This window comes from Homo sapiens, chromosome 17 (genome assembly GCF_000001405.40).
Source record: "Homo sapiens chromosome 17, GRCh38.p14 Primary Assembly".
NCBI classification, from domain to species: Eukaryota; Metazoa; Chordata; class Mammalia; order Primates; family Hominidae; genus Homo; species Homo sapiens.
The window spans coordinates 57,112,337-57,129,181 of NC_000017.11; the positions used below are offsets into that span (position 1 = coordinate 57,112,337).

The 16,845-nt window shown below is 49.0% G+C and overlaps 1 protein-coding gene across 8 annotated transcripts in view, besides 1 other annotated feature; it reads left to right on the top strand.

Annotated features, from left to right (window-relative positions):
* The window catches only part of AKAP1 (A-kinase anchoring protein 1), a 36,099-nt gene extending 27,091 nt beyond the window's left edge, over positions 1 to 9,008 (top strand). For all 8 annotated transcript variants that reach the window (NM_003488.4, NM_001242903.2, NM_001242902.2 and 5 more), the window contains 7 exons: positions 155 to 282; positions 2,123 to 2,300; positions 3,775 to 3,925; positions 4,524 to 4,591; positions 6,045 to 6,118; positions 6,646 to 6,708; positions 7,914 to 9,008. In NM_003488.4, the coding sequence (NP_003479.1) occupies positions 155 to 282; positions 2,123 to 2,300; positions 3,775 to 3,925; positions 4,524 to 4,591; positions 6,045 to 6,118; positions 6,646 to 6,708; positions 7,914 to 7,988 (737 nt within the window). In that variant the 3' untranslated portion in view covers positions 7,989 to 9,008. The remainder of the gene's footprint in view (positions 1 to 154; positions 283 to 2,122; positions 2,301 to 3,774; positions 3,926 to 4,523; positions 4,592 to 6,044; positions 6,119 to 6,645; positions 6,709 to 7,913) is intronic.
* Positions 1,732 to 2,026: a silencer, noted in NCBI's record as "tiled region #9462; K562 Repressive DNase unmatched - State 25:Art". NCBI's record gives its function as "represses a minimal TATA promoter and a strong SV40 promoter by Sharpr-MPRA in K562 cells {active_cell/tissue: K562}" and the evidence as "EXISTENCE:reporter gene assay evidence [ECO:0000049][PMID:27701403]".

The following is a 16,845-nucleotide window of genomic DNA, read 5'->3' on the forward strand; positions in this document are numbered from 1 at the left end:
CCTAAAGCAGAGCTTAAGTGTTTTGTTACCTCAAAGATGCACTTGAACTCTATGCAAAGTCCAGTGGAGTGGGGTCTGTGGCTGTGTTTTTGTGAGTGTGGGTGTGAGTTTCCTCTTACAGTGATTGTATGTCCTGCCCCCATCCGCTATTTAGGCTCTCAACATCATGTAGACAAAGCGCTGAACTTGATTGGGAAGAAGTTCAAAGAGCTGAACCTCACCAATATCTACGCTCCCCCATTGCCTTCACTGGCACTGCCTTCTCTGCCGATGACATCCTGGGTGAGCGTGCTACTGGGTGATCCGGACTTCTTGCCACTTTCCCCCAAACCTACCCCAAACAAGAAACTCCCCAGACCTCAGGCTAAGAAGGCCAAGTGCACATGAGTGCCTGCGCCCTCTCTTCTCTGGCCTCTGCTGGTCGGTTCTGCTATGGGACTGTGTTCTGGGGACAGGGCTTAGGTGGTGATAGCGCTGGCAGGAAACCAGAGGCCTCTTGGTCCCCACATGGGAGGACTACTTTTCCTGGCTCTCCCCCTGGGCACCTTTTAAGTTTTCTAGGCGTTTGCTTAGAAAGGATGGTGTAGTTCGGACAGGAGATTGGGTGTGTCCAGGGTCGCCGTTCACCACCTGAGACCTGGGTGGGACTAGAATCATGGGTTTGGATGGCGCTTGTTCTTTCTTCTGGTTGAGTCAGGCCTTAACAGTGGCCCTGGTGAAGGATCTCCTTCCCCTTCCCCTCCCCAGGAGGTGCCTAAATTACAAAGAAGAATGAATACTCCCCACCAGGCCCGGAAGTCCAGTGACTCTTGGGAGGTTGCCCCAGGAGTTTGGCAGAGGGAAGAGCTGCTATCTCCAGGGCCCCTGTGTGCTGCTGACTGCAGGGTCTCTCAGGGCCGTGGCCCATATCCTGCCGTGTGCCTCTGGCCCTGGTTGGGTCTTATCTCACTGGGAGTAGAATTGCAGAATTCTGTGGGCCAACGACTGTTGACTACGTTTTACACAGATGGACAGATGGGCTGACTATAGCTCCAAGGAAATTGTCCTCCTTCGTGTTTTTTTTTTGTTTTTTTGTTTTTTTATGGATGGTAGGCATTTCAGTTTTGTGTCTTCCCCTTTGCAAAGGCCCTTGGGCTGGAGGGAAAGGATTGGGATATCTTTTTCCTGTGGATATGTGAGAGTAGGCTGAATACCACTTTATGCTTTACTCCTGAATCAAGAGTTTTTTCCCAGGAGGCTCGGTCGTAGACTCACTCTCTTTTTTTTTTTTTTTTTTTTTTTTTTGAGACAGAGTCTCACTCTGTTGCCCAGTCTGGAGTGTAGTGGCATGATCTTGGCTCACTGCAACCTCTGCCCACCAGGTTCAAACGATTATCCTGCCCCAGCCTCCTGAGTAGCTGGGATTACAGGTGTGCTCCACCATGCCCAGCTAATTTGTATGTTTTTAGTAGAGATGGGATTTCACCATGTTTGCCAGGCTGGTCTTGAACTCCTGACCTCAGGAGGGTAAGCAGTAGGAGGGAGAGCAAATAGGAAGCAGACTCTGCTAGACCTTGACCATGGACCTGACCTGAGGCCACTGCTTGCTCTTGGGAGGGCAGCGTAGATGCTGTCAGACCATAGGCTCCTGGGGTTGTCTGCCAGTCCACAGGAGTTGGCTAAAGGGCCTGGGGCCTGCCTACTGCTTATTTTCAGGAGTCTTGTTCTCAGCGGCCACCTCATTCCTGTGTTGCCCTCCCTGGGTCTTATAGATTCATCAACAGAAGTGGGAGGGAGGGCACTGCTGGTAGGTGGACCCTGCCCAGGCCTGTGCAAGGCCCAGCACTACCTCCGCAGTTGCTTCTTGGTTGCCCAGTGTCTGTGGGACCCTCCCTGCCTGGCCCTGAGGTGAGACTGCCCCTAATGGCTGCTCGTGGTATTGCAGGACAACAGCCACAGGGGTGTCGAACACTTTCTGTTGTTAAAGTAGTCCTTCAACCTCTACCTTCTGGGTGCCATGTTGTCTTGAGTTGCCCTTTTCAAAGATATGCTAGCCCAGAGACTTGCCCTTGGGTCTCGGGACTTATTCAAAGATGAGATAAGAAGGATTGTTTCAGTGACCGCTCCCCCTTCCCCTCTACAGCTCATGCTGCCTGATGGCATCACCGTGGAGGTCATTGTGGTCAACCAGGTCAATGCCGGGCACCTGTTCGTGCAGCAGCACACACACCCTACCTTCCACGCGCTGCGCAGCCTCGACCAGCAGATGTACCTCTGTTACTCTCAGCCTGGAATCCCCACCTTGCCCACCCCAGTGGAAAGTAAGCAGTGCCCTGAGGGGTCGGGAAGGGGGACCCCTGGGGTTGCCTGTTCTGCCCTGGATCCTGATCAGGAGGAGGCTGTTCTGCGATCCTTCATGGAAGCAGCATCCTTCAATTCTTGCCATTGTTATGGAGCTGGGGTGGGTTTCCTGGCAAGGCAGAGCTGGGGTTTCCACTGGCTGGCAGAGTGATGGGTGTTGGAGTAGAGTTTTGACACAGGGATTCAGATCCCAGCTCTGCCACTAATTTTTTTTTTTAATTTTTTCTTTTTTTTTTCCCTCAAAGCCAGTGTCATAGTATCTGCCACCTATTTATTATCTGTTAAAGGGGGTGATACCCACTTGTTCCAGGAATTAGTGTTGAATACTGTATGTATTACATATAAAGCACTTATGCATATAATGGTTACCACAAAAAAATCCCCAAGTCCAACAAGCCTGTGCAGCGTGTTGGGTCATCTCCATTTAACAGATGAGAAAACTGGGCCTCAGGTGACTTGCCCAAGTGAGCAGGATCTGGGGTCTGAGCCCAGCCTTTGTCATTATTATCTTTGTTGTCCTTATCACAGAGGATGGAATGTCAGAACATCACCCATTCCTCACCAGGGGATGGCAGGGTCACTCAGTGCAGTAGAAAACCTTCTGAAGTGATCTCTGTAGCCTTTTGTGTGGATTTTTTCCTTTTGGAAGGATAAGGACTTAGTTTTCATTGGCTTCTCTAAAGTTGCCTTAACCCAGCAGTAAAGACTGAACTGGAGCCTGAGGGGTAACTGCCAGGGGTTCTCTCCAAGGGTCAGGACCCAGCACAGTCAGCCTCATGTCACAGGTCCTCATCCTGGCCAGCGTGGGCAGCTGTTGGGGTGCTGCTGGGAACGTTTACCTCCTGGTCTCGTCTGCCTCTGACCCACAGTGGGTTAGTGACTCCTTGATCCTGGGTGGCTGCCCAGGTGCTGTCAGCACCTTCCAGAGGCAAAGGCTAGAAGAAGGGGGTTTAGGCCCAGGAGGCCCCTTCTGGTCAAGCTCTCCAGCTGAGTTGTGGGCTGGAGCACACCCTAGGTATGAGGATGCTGAGATCTGCTGCACTTGATTTCTTCAGGGACTTTCTTTTAAATGTAAGGCTGGCCCTGGCCCCCATTCCCCGAGTGCTATATTTACTTGGTTTATTCCTATTCATCTGTGTCCCTCTTGGGTCCCAGAAGTTTTGGAGTAATGGATCTAGACTGAATGCTTCTCAGTCTGGATGGCCTCGGGGGCGGCACACTTGCTAGGCTGAACTTCTCACATCCAGGTTTTTCCCTCGGCTGGTCTTGGGCTTGGGGGAGGCTTTGCTTGGGGCCGGTTGCTGTTCCTGTCCCCTGCACTGTGGAGGTTGCAGGCCTCTGAGAGGTAACGCAGGGAGGTGGGTAGTGGCCAGGTGGCCCTTGGTGCCCTGCCCTGGCCCAGGCGTTCCACGCACTCTGCTCCCTACCCTGCAGTAACGGTCATCTGTGCCGCCCCTGGTGCGGACGGGGCCTGGTGGCGAGCCCAAGTGGTTGCCTCCTACGAGGAGACCAACGAAGTGGAGATTCGATACGTGGACTACGGCGGATATAAGAGGGTGAAAGTAGACGTGCTCCGGCAAATCAGGTGAGCGGAGATGCCTCAGGCAGGCCTACGCCCTGCTTGTTCTGGGATGCGTGATCTCTGCGTGGCTGGCTCAGTTGTGCCAGGGCTTGGGTGAGGGTTACTTCTTCCCTCCTGCTGCCTACTGTGTTTTAGCAGAGTCTGATAGAAACAAACTCGATTACTCGCTTAGCCAAACTGAGCTAGAAGGCCTGTATTGTGGAAGAATCCCCAGCATCATCCTTCAAAAGTGAAGCTGGGCCAGGCGTGGTGGCCTGCTGCAAATCCCAGCGCTTTGGGAGGGTCACTTGAGTGCAGGAGTTCAAGACCAGACCGGGCAGTATAGCGAGACCTCATCTCTACAACATCAACAAAAAAGGAAAAAAGTGAAGCAGGCTCCTTTTTAGGAATTTGTCATAGGAAGTCCCTCTGAGGTCAGGCTTGCAGCAGGGTCGGCTGGCTGTGTTTGGGTGTGCTGTGAGCCGTGGCCTCCTGCAAAGTACGAACCCTCTGCTTTGCTGCATCCCAGGTTATGGGCGTCACTGTACAAAGATGAATACTGGCTTGGAGTGGAGTCAGCCTTCATGTCCACATTAAACTTGTTCCTTTCTTGCCTTCCCAGGTCTGACTTTGTCACCCTGCCGTTTCAGGGAGCAGAAGTCCTTCTGGACAGTGTGATGCCCCTGTCAGGTAACAGCTGAGGCCTTTGGCTTGGGGGATTGTTGGGGACAGTTGTTGAGAGTAGGTCTTTCTCAGAGCCTCCGTTCTCACCTGGAGGATTTATGCTAACATAAGTTGCTACCACTCAAGAGTTTCTGACTGAATAGGTCTGGGCTTAGGCCCAGGAACTTACATTGCTATCAAGTTCCCAGGTGAGACCAGTGCTGCTGATCCTTTGAGATCCACTGCTCTAGACTGTACTCAGACCTCAGGCATCAAGGGGCTTCCAACAAAGGCACTTTCCAGATTATAGTCCAGACCCAGAGTCTTAGCCCCGGTGGTTGAGGGCGTGCTGGTCACTGATACTGCTCAGCCAGGCCATAGCTCCATAGGGCACAGTGGGGACACCCTATCTGGTGTCTTAGACTATGAAAGCATTGTCAGAGGGAAGAGGACTGGCAAAATCTTGGGTAAATGACTTAGCCTCAATTTTCACCCCAGAACATGGGAATGGTACCTGTCTTTGATGCTGGCTGTGAGAATTACATAAACCTAAGATCTGGTGTGTAGAGGGTGGCGAAATGGCAGCTGTTTATGGCTAGGAATTTTATATTTGTAGGTGATAGTTCATCCCATCCCACTCCCTCCCCAGGTTTGCCCCTTCTGATCTCCTTCTTGCTTGTCTTAAGCGATTTGCATGCGTTAGAAATACTACAGTCTAGCTGGAGTCGGCTTAGAGGGAGCACTGGGGCAAGATCTTTGTTTTGCTTCTTTTATTGCTGTTGCCCCTCCTTCCTCTCTGCTTCTGTCCATCTAAGCGATCTGTCCAGACCCAGCTGAAACTTTCTCCTTCGTAAGATTTTCCCGGATCTTCCTTGGTAAACCCCTGTCTCTCCCATCCTTGCCACTGCTTGCCTTGGGTATGGTGTTCTATGTAACTTTTGTAATCCAGCAAAGCTGAATGCTGCCGCAGCGCCTTGCCCACTCTGAGTGGCTGGCCTTATTGGGCTGTGTGGCCAACTGCCTGGGTTTGATTCCCACCTTCACCACTTGGGAGCTGGTTGACCTTCAGGAATCCACCTTTGCCTCAGTGTTCTCTCCTGTAAAGTGGGGATAGCACTTGGTGTTACTAATTTTGTGGAAGAACACATATGCTCTGCACTGCCAGCATCCGAGTTGGTGGGGGTGGGGGTGGTGCTGCTGCTGGTGGTATTGGTGGTGGTGTTAGTGGTGAAGTTTCTGTCCATCTGTTGTCTGTGCTGCACCAGTGGGCAACATGCAGTAGCGGCCCTTAGTTTATCCACTGGGAGTCATATGGAGGCCTAGGCTCTGTCTCTGACCTGGGTGGATCTCCCCAGTGCAGTTCTCAAGTTCCACAGCATCTGAAGCATTCTACTTGGAATGCACCTGAAACTTGTGTACATGACAAGGGTGCCTTGCCTCAGTGAGAGCCTAAATGCCGCTTTTCCTTTTCCTCCTGAAGACGATGACCAGTTTTCACCGGAAGCAGATGCCGCCATGAGCGAGATGACGGGGAATACAGCACTGCTTGCTCAGGTGTGTGGTTGGCAGGGGTGGGGGAGGCAGGCTGGCTGGGTTCTTGGGAACTGACCTTTCAATGCCTTCTTTCCTGTGGCTTGGCCCTGGATTGACCAGCAGTATTTAAGGAAAGGTGCATGAAGTAGCTAATACTTGATATTAGTCTGTTCTCACATTGCTGTAAAGAAATACCTGGGACTGAATAATCTATAAAGGAAAGAGGTGTAATTGACTCACAATTCTGCGGGCCTGGGGAGACCTCAGGAAACTTACAATCATGGCAGAAAGGGAAGAGGCACGTCTTACATGATGGGCAGGCAAGAGACAGTATGTGAAGGAGGAACTGTCAGATACTTATAAAACCATCAGATCTCATGAGAACTCACTATGACGAGAACAGCATGGGCACACCGCCTCATGATCCAATCACCTCCCACCAGGTCTCTCCCTCGACACATGGGGATTATGGAGATGACAATTCAAGATGATATTTGAGTGGGGACACAAAACCTAACCATATTATTCTTTCCACCCCCCTTCTTCAGGTGACAAGTTACAGTCCAACTGGTCTTCCTCTGATTCAGCTGTGGAGTGTGGTTGGAGATGAAGTAAGTTCTGCCCTTCTTTTCCTTCTGTGTTGCTGGCCCGAAGTAATGGATTGATTAGGAGCTGGTCCTGGGATTTGTTTCCTCTTGAGTTAATCAGAGGATATAACTGTAGACAAGCACCTCCTAGGGAACACTTTGGATGTCCTGATTGGCAGTGGTGATGTCAGTGTCCTCTAGTGGGTAGAGGCCAAGGATGCCACTAAACATCCCATAGTATTCAGGACAGCCCCCCACAGCAAATAATTATCCAACCGCAAATGTCAATAGCGCCAAGGTGGAGAAACCCTGTGCGAGACTTTCTGGGACCTTCTGTCTGTTGAGTTTTTCTGTCCTCTATCTTATGGTATGAAAGCTTAGATTTCTTCAGCATATTAAAAAGCCTATCCTGGCCAGGTACAGTGGCTCACCCCTGTAATCCCAGCACTTTGGGAGGCCGAGACGGGCAGATCACTTGAGGTCAGGAGTTTGAGACCAGCCTGGCCAACATGGCGAAACCCCCATCTCTACTAAAAATGCAAAAATCTGCTGGGTGTGGTGATGCACACCTGTGATCCCAGCTGCTTGGGAGGCTGAGGCAGGAGAATCACTTGAACCTGGGAGACGGAGGTTGCAGTGAACCAACATTGTGCCACTGCACTCCAGCCTGGGTGACAGAGCAAGACTCTGTCTCAAAAAACAAAAACAAAAACAAAAAAACCCTATCCTTATGCCACAGCAGCCAACAGAATACTTAAATAAATGTTCCTGTTGGCTAGAGCATAAGCCATGTCCCCCACCCTGTTACTCTTTTTTTTTTTTTTTTTTTTGAGACAGTCTTGCTCTTGTTATCCAGGCTGGAGTGCAGTGGCGTGATCTTGGCTCACTGTAACCTCCGCCTCCGGGGTTCAAGCGATTCTGCTTCAGCCTCAGTAACTGGGATTACAGGTGCCTGCCACCACACCTGGCTAATTTTTGTATGTTTAATAGAGACGGGGTTTCACCATGTTGGCCAGGCTGGTCTCGAACTCCTGACCTCAGGTGATCCACCTGCCTCAGCCTCCCAAAATGCTAGGATTACAGGCATGAGCCACTGCGTCTGGCCTACACTGTTACTCTCATACATCTGTTGCCTGCAGTGGCAACCGGGGAGGGGAGAACTCATGTTGGCTAGGGAGATGGCCCCAGGATGCCATGGACAAAAGCTTTAAGGGAACTTTCTTTTCTAGGTGGTGTTGATAAACCGGTCCCTGGTGGAGCGAGGCCTTGCCCAGTGGGTAGACAGCTACTACACAAGCCTTTGACCCCCATGCTGCTTCCTGAGAGTCTTTTTTTGCACTGTTGAAATTGGGCTTGGCACTCAAGTCAAAGATGAACATCGGAATAACAAACATTGTCCTCTCCAGAAAGTCCTTTCTTTCTCCATACTGTAGTCCTATTGAGAAGACATTTCGTCTCTGAGAAAAAAGGATGGAACTATGGGTTCTCTTCGCAAAGCCAAAGGATAGTGTTTAACAAGCCAGCTGGCTTATGCTGGTTCTCAGCTGTTTAAAAAAAAAAAAAAAAAGGAATAGAAACAGTTTCAACCAGATTGTCCTATTCCCCCTGTTCCATTCCCCTCTTCTTCCTTCTATCTCCTTCCCCGGCAAAAACCAAACAAACTGGCAGACAGGCCAGGGATGTATGTTGCTTGCTTGAGAGGGTTTCTTTTACTTCAAAATCTTTCTTCAGGGAGCAAGACATGAACTGACTAATTGGTATCCACTACTTGTACAGCTTACATAAATGAGTTGATGATATTTAACCAGTTTTTATAAACTTCATTTAGGTCTCTAAACACAGACTTTTTAAATTGCAACTGTAAATATGAAATGGTCATCACATCTGACCTTGGTCAGTGGGGAGGGGAACTGGTATCCTGCCAAGCCTGGTTGTAATTTGTAACCATTTTCTATTTGTGCAAACTCTGTAAATATGTGTTTAAACAAATGTAATATTTTGTACAAGATACACTGGAGAACAAAGGGAACTCAAGATTCTTCCAGCCACATGTCACCTGTAGGTAGAAGTAAACTCTGCAGTGCAGCTTCTGCTCTTGGCCCCTCTGGCCAGGGCCCCTGTGGCTTCCTGCACACTGGACAGGTGACTGTATGGTAGAGACTGTGATCTGGGAACTTTTTGCTGTACAAATCTGTTTAAAAAAAAAAAAAAGTAACTCATTGAATTAACTTGCAGTGGTGTGTTTGATTCTTTTTTAGACTGGCTTCAGCATTGTGCAGTTTAAAAATAAGTAAGTAACTTACATAAATCTTCAATTGTATGAACTGCAGCTTTGAGTCCATTTTTTTCCAGTGGTGAAGAATTGGCGGGGGGGGGGTGGTGAGTGTGGCGAGCTGGATCACAGGCCCCACACAACTGCCTCTGCAGGAGACCCATGGTTTTTTGAAGACAATTTGGCCAGAAATTTCTATCTGGCCTTTTCCTCTCTCTCCTTGTCCCACCAGGTGGCAGCCAAGCGTCCTCCGACTTCTTCACTGCATGTTAACTGGCCAGACTCAGTTTAAAGCACTGGCTTCCAAAACGGGTTGTGCCTTCTTTGGTTGTCATTCTTAATAGATTCGTGAAGTTATTTAATTTACTGTAGTGATAAGAATGATGTAAAAAATACATGTAAGTTATGGGATGAGATACTGCCTCAATTTAATAGCCCCTGCTCTTAAAGAAGGCTGGCCACTGCAGCCCAGGCCTACCCCAGTGCCCCGCCCCTGCCCCCTACGTTTGAGGCCTCTGGCTGCAGGGCTGTTGAGCTTGAGCTCTAGTTTTTAGAGAGCTGACGTAGCCTGAGGGTCATTCTGATTGGAGATATCCTCCCACCGCACACCCACTCCTGGGAGCTCCTCCCAGTTCCAACCCAGCTGGCTTGTTCTTTCCGTCTCTGTCCTGGCCAAGCCTGAGCTGTGGCCATTGTCAGGTGCCCATCTTCCCCTCCATCCAGGTTCTCGCCTGTGTGGTTAACAGCCTCTGTTTCCCTCATCTGTAAGATGAGATAACCTCATAAGGCAATTTAATCATGGAAATGCCCTCTGCTTCTACAGTGCTTGGTCCCAGGGAGCTCCCCTGCAGTTCCTTAGCCACTATTGGCTTTAAGTCCTGGCAGGAATTGGGTGTGACTTTGGCCAGGTCACCATACACCCAGGTCTAAGCTTTTCCTCTATAATCCAGCATTGCTGGAGCATGAAAAGGTCTACGGAAGCCTTCCGACTAACTTAGGGAATGCTCACAGAGCCTGGTGTGCAGATTTAGCTTTTATCTCCAGGGAACCATTGAGGGGTTTCAAACATTAAAACATGCTTCTGGTGCAGGGAGAAGGGTGGGTGAGGTGGAGGTGTAGACATGAGAAAAAAGGGATTCCCCTGGGATGGAGCCTGGGACAGACAAGACGTGATGAAGTCAGGATCCTCAGATAAAGCCCCTTGGGCTTTGATGAGTGGGATGGGCTGCTACCCGGGACTCCCACGCCTTAGAGTCCTACCCTGCAAGGGTGCCTCCATTAAACTCGGTTTGGAATGCTGGAGGAAGAGCAAGTTGGAGGCTGGTGAAGGACTTGTACTCCTCGAATAAATGCTTCTCAGATTGTTGCCTTTGATTAATTTCCAGAGTTCTGAAAAACTTGACTTTTAACCATTTTGCCAGAAATCTCATTGTTCTTAAGGAGGAGCAGATTTATGAAGGTCCTCGCTCCATCCCTCTGCAAGTCAGCTGCCCGGGCAAGTGCATTTGAGACGCCCTCTTTTAATTACCTGTGGGGCATCCAGGGGATGTCTTGGTGTGAATTGGAAACTCACGGGAGAAGCCAGTGCTGGCAAGAGATCTGGCAATCTGCCCAGGGTGTAGGGGAGAGGGGTGGAATGCTGGATGCAGGAGGCTAGAGCTTCCACCCTGTTCTCATTATAGGCATTGGTGTCAGTACTGCCCCTCTGGTCTCTGGGGCATCACCATGGAGGCTGGGTTTTAGGGTTACTGCTATACCTTGTACAACTTCAGGTATGCCACTTGTAGACATCAACATCTGTCAGACGATAACTAATGTCAGTTCTAAGATAAAATGAGAGTTGTAGCTAGAGTTAGGGAGTGCTTACTGTGTCAGGTGCTGTCTCTTTTACAGGTAACACTGAGTCCTTGACACAACCCAGGGAGGCAGGGACTCCGTAGATGAGCAGACCCAAGAGGTAGAAGATGGTGATTTTGGAAAGTGGTTCGTGGATAGAGCAGAGCTGAAACTAAAAACCAGGCTGCTACCCCAGGCCAGGTGCTCTTCACCACCACCCCTAAAGCAGCGTGGATTCATCTTGCCCCAGTCCACATCCCCAAATAAATGCCACAGTGATTAAATGATCAGTCCATGGAAAAGCTTTGGAACTTAGAGTGGGAAAGATACCATGACAAGAGAGATCAATGATTTTGCTTTTATGGAAAATTTAAATCTTAAGTAACATAAAGCCAAGAGACACCTGCAGCAGCTAGGGCCAGAGAGTGGACGTTTTGAATCCGTGATAACGTAAAACAAGGAAAACTGGCCAGGCACGGTGGATCGCGCCTGTAATCCCAGCATTTCAGGAGGCTGAATTGGGTGGATCACTTGAGGCCAGGAGTTCGAGACCAGCCAGGCCAACATAGCAAAAACCCCATCTCTACAAGAAAAATGACATGGTGGCACGCACCTGTAATCCCAGCTACTTGGGAAGCTGAGACAGGAGAATCGCTGGAACCTAGAAGGCGGAGGTTGCAGTGAGCTGAGATCACACCACTGGACTCCAGCCTGGGTGACAGAGCCAGACTGTCTCAAAAAATCAAAACAAAGAAAAAACCCAAGACAAATCTCTAAGTTTCCATTGGGAAATATCATAAAGGATGTGGATGGAAAATCTGGGTCTGTTCCTAGACCAGCAGTGGCCAATAGAAATATGTGAGCCACATCTGTAATTTAAAACTTTCTAGGAGCCACAGTTAAAAAGTGCAAAGAAACAGATGAAATTAATTTTCATAATACTTTAAGTCATATCATTTCAGCATGTAATGGATATGAAACATTAAGGAGTTGTTTTACAGTGTTTTTCCTACTAAGTCCAGTGTGCATTTGACACTTCAGCATATCTCTGTTCAGGCCGGCCACATTTCAAGGGCATGATAGCCACGTGTGGCTTGTGGCTATCACGTTGGACAGTGTAGGCCTGGACTATTCCATTGATCACTATCACACTGATACTGACAGCCTTATTTATGTTCTTCCTTATTCAAAAAGTTGTATGTCCTTTTGCACATTTATTTTTCCAGATGAACTTTAGAATCATTTTGCAGGGAAGGGGGCCATACTAAATATTCTATTGGTATTTGAAAATAATGCACGCTATTGAGTTGGTATAAAGTTTTATATAATCTATGAAGTTGGGTGTGTAAAATATTTGAATTTATTGTTTTCCTTTCTCGCCCTCTCCTTCCCTGGTTTTTTTTTTTTTTTTAAATACAGGGTCTCGATCTGCTGCCCAGACTGGAGTGCAGTGGTGCAGTCAGCTCATTGCAGCCTCGAACTCCCTGACTCAAGCAATCCTCCCTCCTCAGCCTCCTGAGCAGCTGGGAGCACAGGCGCATGCCACCACACCGAACTAATTTGTTTTTTCATTGTTTTTGTAGAGATGAGGTCTTGCCATGTTGCCCAGGCTGGTCTTGATCTCCTGGCCTCAAGCGATCTCCGCTGCCTCAGCCCCCAAAGTGCTGGGATTACAGACACAAGACACTGCACCCAGCCCTGAAATTGTTGTCAGAGCATGTATGAGACCTTGTACATCAACATATTTTTTTGTAGTTTGGCTGGGCATCTCTGGTAGACTGGATGTCTCCTTGCCAAAAATTCTGTCTTCCTCACGGTAGGATTGTACATCCTACTGTGTTTTGTTGGACTCAGGCATGGACTCATCCTGGTCAGTGGAAGATGGGTAAAGGTGGCACAAGTCACCAAGGCAGATGCCTTGAGCCAGTATGTGGTTCGCTTGTCTTCTCCCTCTGCACCAGCGTCAGCTACATGCCAGGTAGATACCCATCCACCCACCTGGGTCCCAGTGTGAAGATAACGTGGAACAGGGCTGCAGCCAGCTCTCAATGGGTGTGTGGTTTGTGAAACATCTCACATGAGCCTCTGAGGTTTGGGGCTTGTGTGTTCCCCATGGCCTGTCATTCTAGGGTCCCACACCTTTCCTCCAAGGGCTCAGAGCTCTGGCCATAGAAGCTGCCAGGGTACCATGTTCTTATGCCTGACTGGGGACAAGCTCCTCGCCCTCTCTTCTCATAACCCCCTCTGTAAACAGTGGGGGTGAATTAGGTGAGTGCTGACATGCTTGCCAGGTTTGACTTTTGACTGATCTGTGAATAAGAGCCTTCCTGAAGATTCCTCTTAATGAGGCTGACTTGTATTTTTACAAAGCAAATCATCTAAGAGAGATCTTGGCTGTTTCTTGTTAGAAATAGGCCCAACTGACATCTGGTGGGGACAGACGGTATTTGAGAAGCCCTGATGCTCTGGGCAAGGAAGGCGGATACCTCCTACCTGGAGCTGGGATGGATTTCTTGTCTTTCACCAGCCTCCCTGGCTTGGTGACAGGCAGGAGCTCTGACTGCTCCCACTGATTTCTTTCTCTCCATTGAGCACCTGCTGTATGCCAAGCATCCTGCTGGGGGCTTCAAAGATGAAACAAACATTGAGCCTTTAGGGAGCTTCTCTGTTTTGGGAGTGGGGTTTGATGATCTCGGTGCAGATGGTGCTTTCCTGAGTGGGTGCCTTCTCCCACTTTGTAATGGGATCCTGGCAATTGCTGGTGAGGTAGGAAGGAAACTGAGGCTTCAAATCAGCAGAGCCAGACTTGAACCGGGTCTTCTGCACTCCAGACTCTGTCTTTGCTTGCATGTGATGCCTCTGCTTCTCTTTATGATGGCCCGAGCACCAAAGGGACATGTTGACAAGAAGGATGAATGAGGCGACAGGTGGGAGGGCTCCTCTCCAGAGCTGGCCTCGTCCAGGCTTTGAAGGAAGAGGAAGCCGAACAGAGTGGCATGGCAGGTGAGGGAGAAGCTGCATGGCCAGGGTCATTGCCATGATGGGAGGCACTTCCTGCTGAGATTGGGGCTGGTCCTGTGATCTGGCTCATGGACACTTGGAAAAGGAGATGGTAAAAGAGCAGGGGCTGGGCACGATGGCTCACACTTACAATCCCAGCACTTTGGGAGGTCGGGGTGGAAGGATCACTTGAGCCCAGGAGTTGGAGACCAGCCTGGGCAACATAGTGAAACCCCATCTCTACTAAAAATACAAAAATTAGCCAGGTGTGGTGGTGCACGCCTGTAGTCCCAGCTACTTGGGAGACTGAGGCAAGAGGTGGAGGCTGTAGTTGAGCCATGATTGCACCACTGCACTCCGGCCTGGACAATAAAGTGAGACCCTGTCTCTAAAAAATAAAAATAAAGTGAGAGGATGACATCATCACAGGAAGCTGTCTGTGAAAACATCACTTATAGAAGTCCTGTCTTTTTCATCTTTTAATAGGTAATAAACACATAATACATGATTCCAAAGATACTTAAGGATAACCAGAAAAAAGGAAATCTTCCTGTTTCCCCCAGACACCCAGATTTTCTCTCTGGAGGACACTATATCTAGTTTCTTGTGTTTCTTACCAGAGGTTCAATCCCTGCACACCCAGCACACATAGATGATAGCATAACATAAACAGGGTCACACACTAGGCCGGGGTTTGTCAATAAAGTTTTATTGGAACAGGCATGACCATTTGTTTACGTATTGCCTGTGGCTGTGTTTGTGCTACAGCCACAGAGGTGAGTACCTACAATAGACTGGATGCCCTGCAAAGCCAAAAATATCTAGTTTTTCACAGAAAGTTTGCTGGCCCCTGCTGGAAACACTCGTGTGCAATTCCTAACCCCCACCACCCTCCATTTAATCAAACTTAAATGCAGCTTTGATATTTATTTGCCTCTTTTCCAACCATGAGTTTTTTTGGTCTGTTTTTTTTTTGAGACAGAGTCTCGCTCTGTCACCCAGGCTGGAGTGCAGTGGCACCATCCCGGCTCACTGCAACCTCCACCTCCTGGGTTCACGCAATTCTCCTGCCTCAGCCTTGTGAGTAGCTGGGATTACAGGTGTGCACCACCATACCCAGCTAATTTTTGTATTTTTAGTAGAGATGGGGTTTCACTATGTTGCCCAGGCTGGTCTCGAACTCCTGAGCTCAAGCAGTCCACCCACCTCTGCCTCCCAAAGTGCTGGGATTAGAGGCATGAGCCACAGTGCCGGGCCAACCATGAGTTCTTTAGATTTTGAAAATTGCAGACTCTCAGCTTCCTTGTGATGATAGTAGGCAGCTCTGTGCCTTGTAGACCTCCTTCCTGGTACCTGCCTTGTTCCTGGTAGAGTGATCAGGCACAGAACCCTCCACCCCCAGAGGGTGGGCAGTCTTCTCAGGATAGACTGGGAAGACCCTCTTTAGACAGCAGTGTGGTCCAGGAACCTGCAGCGCTGGCAGCTCCTGGGAGCAGAATCTCAGGCTCCACCCTCCTGAATCCTCATTTTTGTGACTCCCAGGCTATTCATACATTCATCAAAGTTTGAACACTTGATGAGCCCAGGGCATGGATGTTCAACCCTGGCTGCATATTGGAATCATTCTGAAAACTACTGATGCCTTCGCAGGACATGCTTAAGTTATGGCTAAAAAAACAACAACAACAACAAAAAACGTTTAAATGACTTGATGCCAGAGACCTGTTTTCAAAGACACGGATTTAATTGGTCTGGGCTACACCCTGGGCACTGGGAGAGATTTAGAAAAAGTATTACCTTTGGAGTGTAACGTGTACACCAAAGCACACCAAGTGCACACATCTTGAGTGTAGATCATGATGCATTTTCACAAACTTGTGCATCTGGGTAACCATCACCAGAGGAAGTTAAAGGAACATTTCTAGGATCCCAGGAGTTGACCTCATGCCCTTGTTTAGTCAATACCTTGTCCCCTAGGGAACTGTAATTTTATCGCTGTAAGATTAATTTTCCGCCGGGCGCGGTGGCTCACGCCTGTAATCCCAGCACTTTGGGAGACCGAGGAGGGTGGATCACGAGGTCAGGAGATCGAGACCATCCTGGCTAACACGGTGAAACCCCGTCTCTACTAAAAATACAAAAAATTAGCCGGGCGTGGTGGCGGGCACCTGTAGTCCCAGCTACTCGGGAGGCTGAGGCAGGAGAATGGCGTGAACCCAGGAGGCGGAGCTTACAGTGAGCGGAGATCGCGCCACCGCACTCCAGCCTGGATGACAGAGCGAGACTCCGTCTCAAAAAAAAATAAATAAATAAATAAAATGTTAATTTTCCTACTCTGGAACTTCGTGTTAATGGGATGATGCAGTCTGCACTCTTGCATCTTAGTGTTTGCACTCACCGTTTTGCCTGAGATGGCACGTACCTCAGCTCTCTTGTGTGCATCCCACTGTATGAATATACTACAATTTATTTACCCATTCTTTGATGTTCATTGAGGTTTCTGGTTTTAGGCTGTAATGCATAAAGCTCCTATCCTTCATTTTTGTATTTTTAGTGGATGCATGTATTCATTTCTCTTGGGCACACACCTGTGAGGGTCACACACCACAGAGCAGGAACATGTTTAGCTCCAGTAATTATTTGTGTCTTGGGATTTTTTTTTGTTTTTTTGAGACAGGATCTCTGTTGCCCAGGCTGGAGTGCAGTGGCACAATTTTGGCTCACTGCAACCTCTGCCTCCTGGGCCCAAGGGATCCTCCTACCTCAGTCTCCCAAGTAGCTGGAACTACAGGCTCGTGTCACCATGCCTGGCTAATTTTCGTATTTATTGTAGAGATGGGGTTTCACCATGTTGCCCAGACTGGTCTAGGACTCCTGGACTCAAGCAGTCCTCCTGCCTCAACCCCCTAAAGTGCTGGGATTATAAGCAGGAGCCACCTCGCCCATCTATGTATTTGGATTGTTAAAGCTCACCAGGTGATTCTGATTTGCTGCTGGAATCAAGAATCCCTGTTCCCAGCTGGGCACAGTGGCTCAAGCCTGTAATCCCAGCA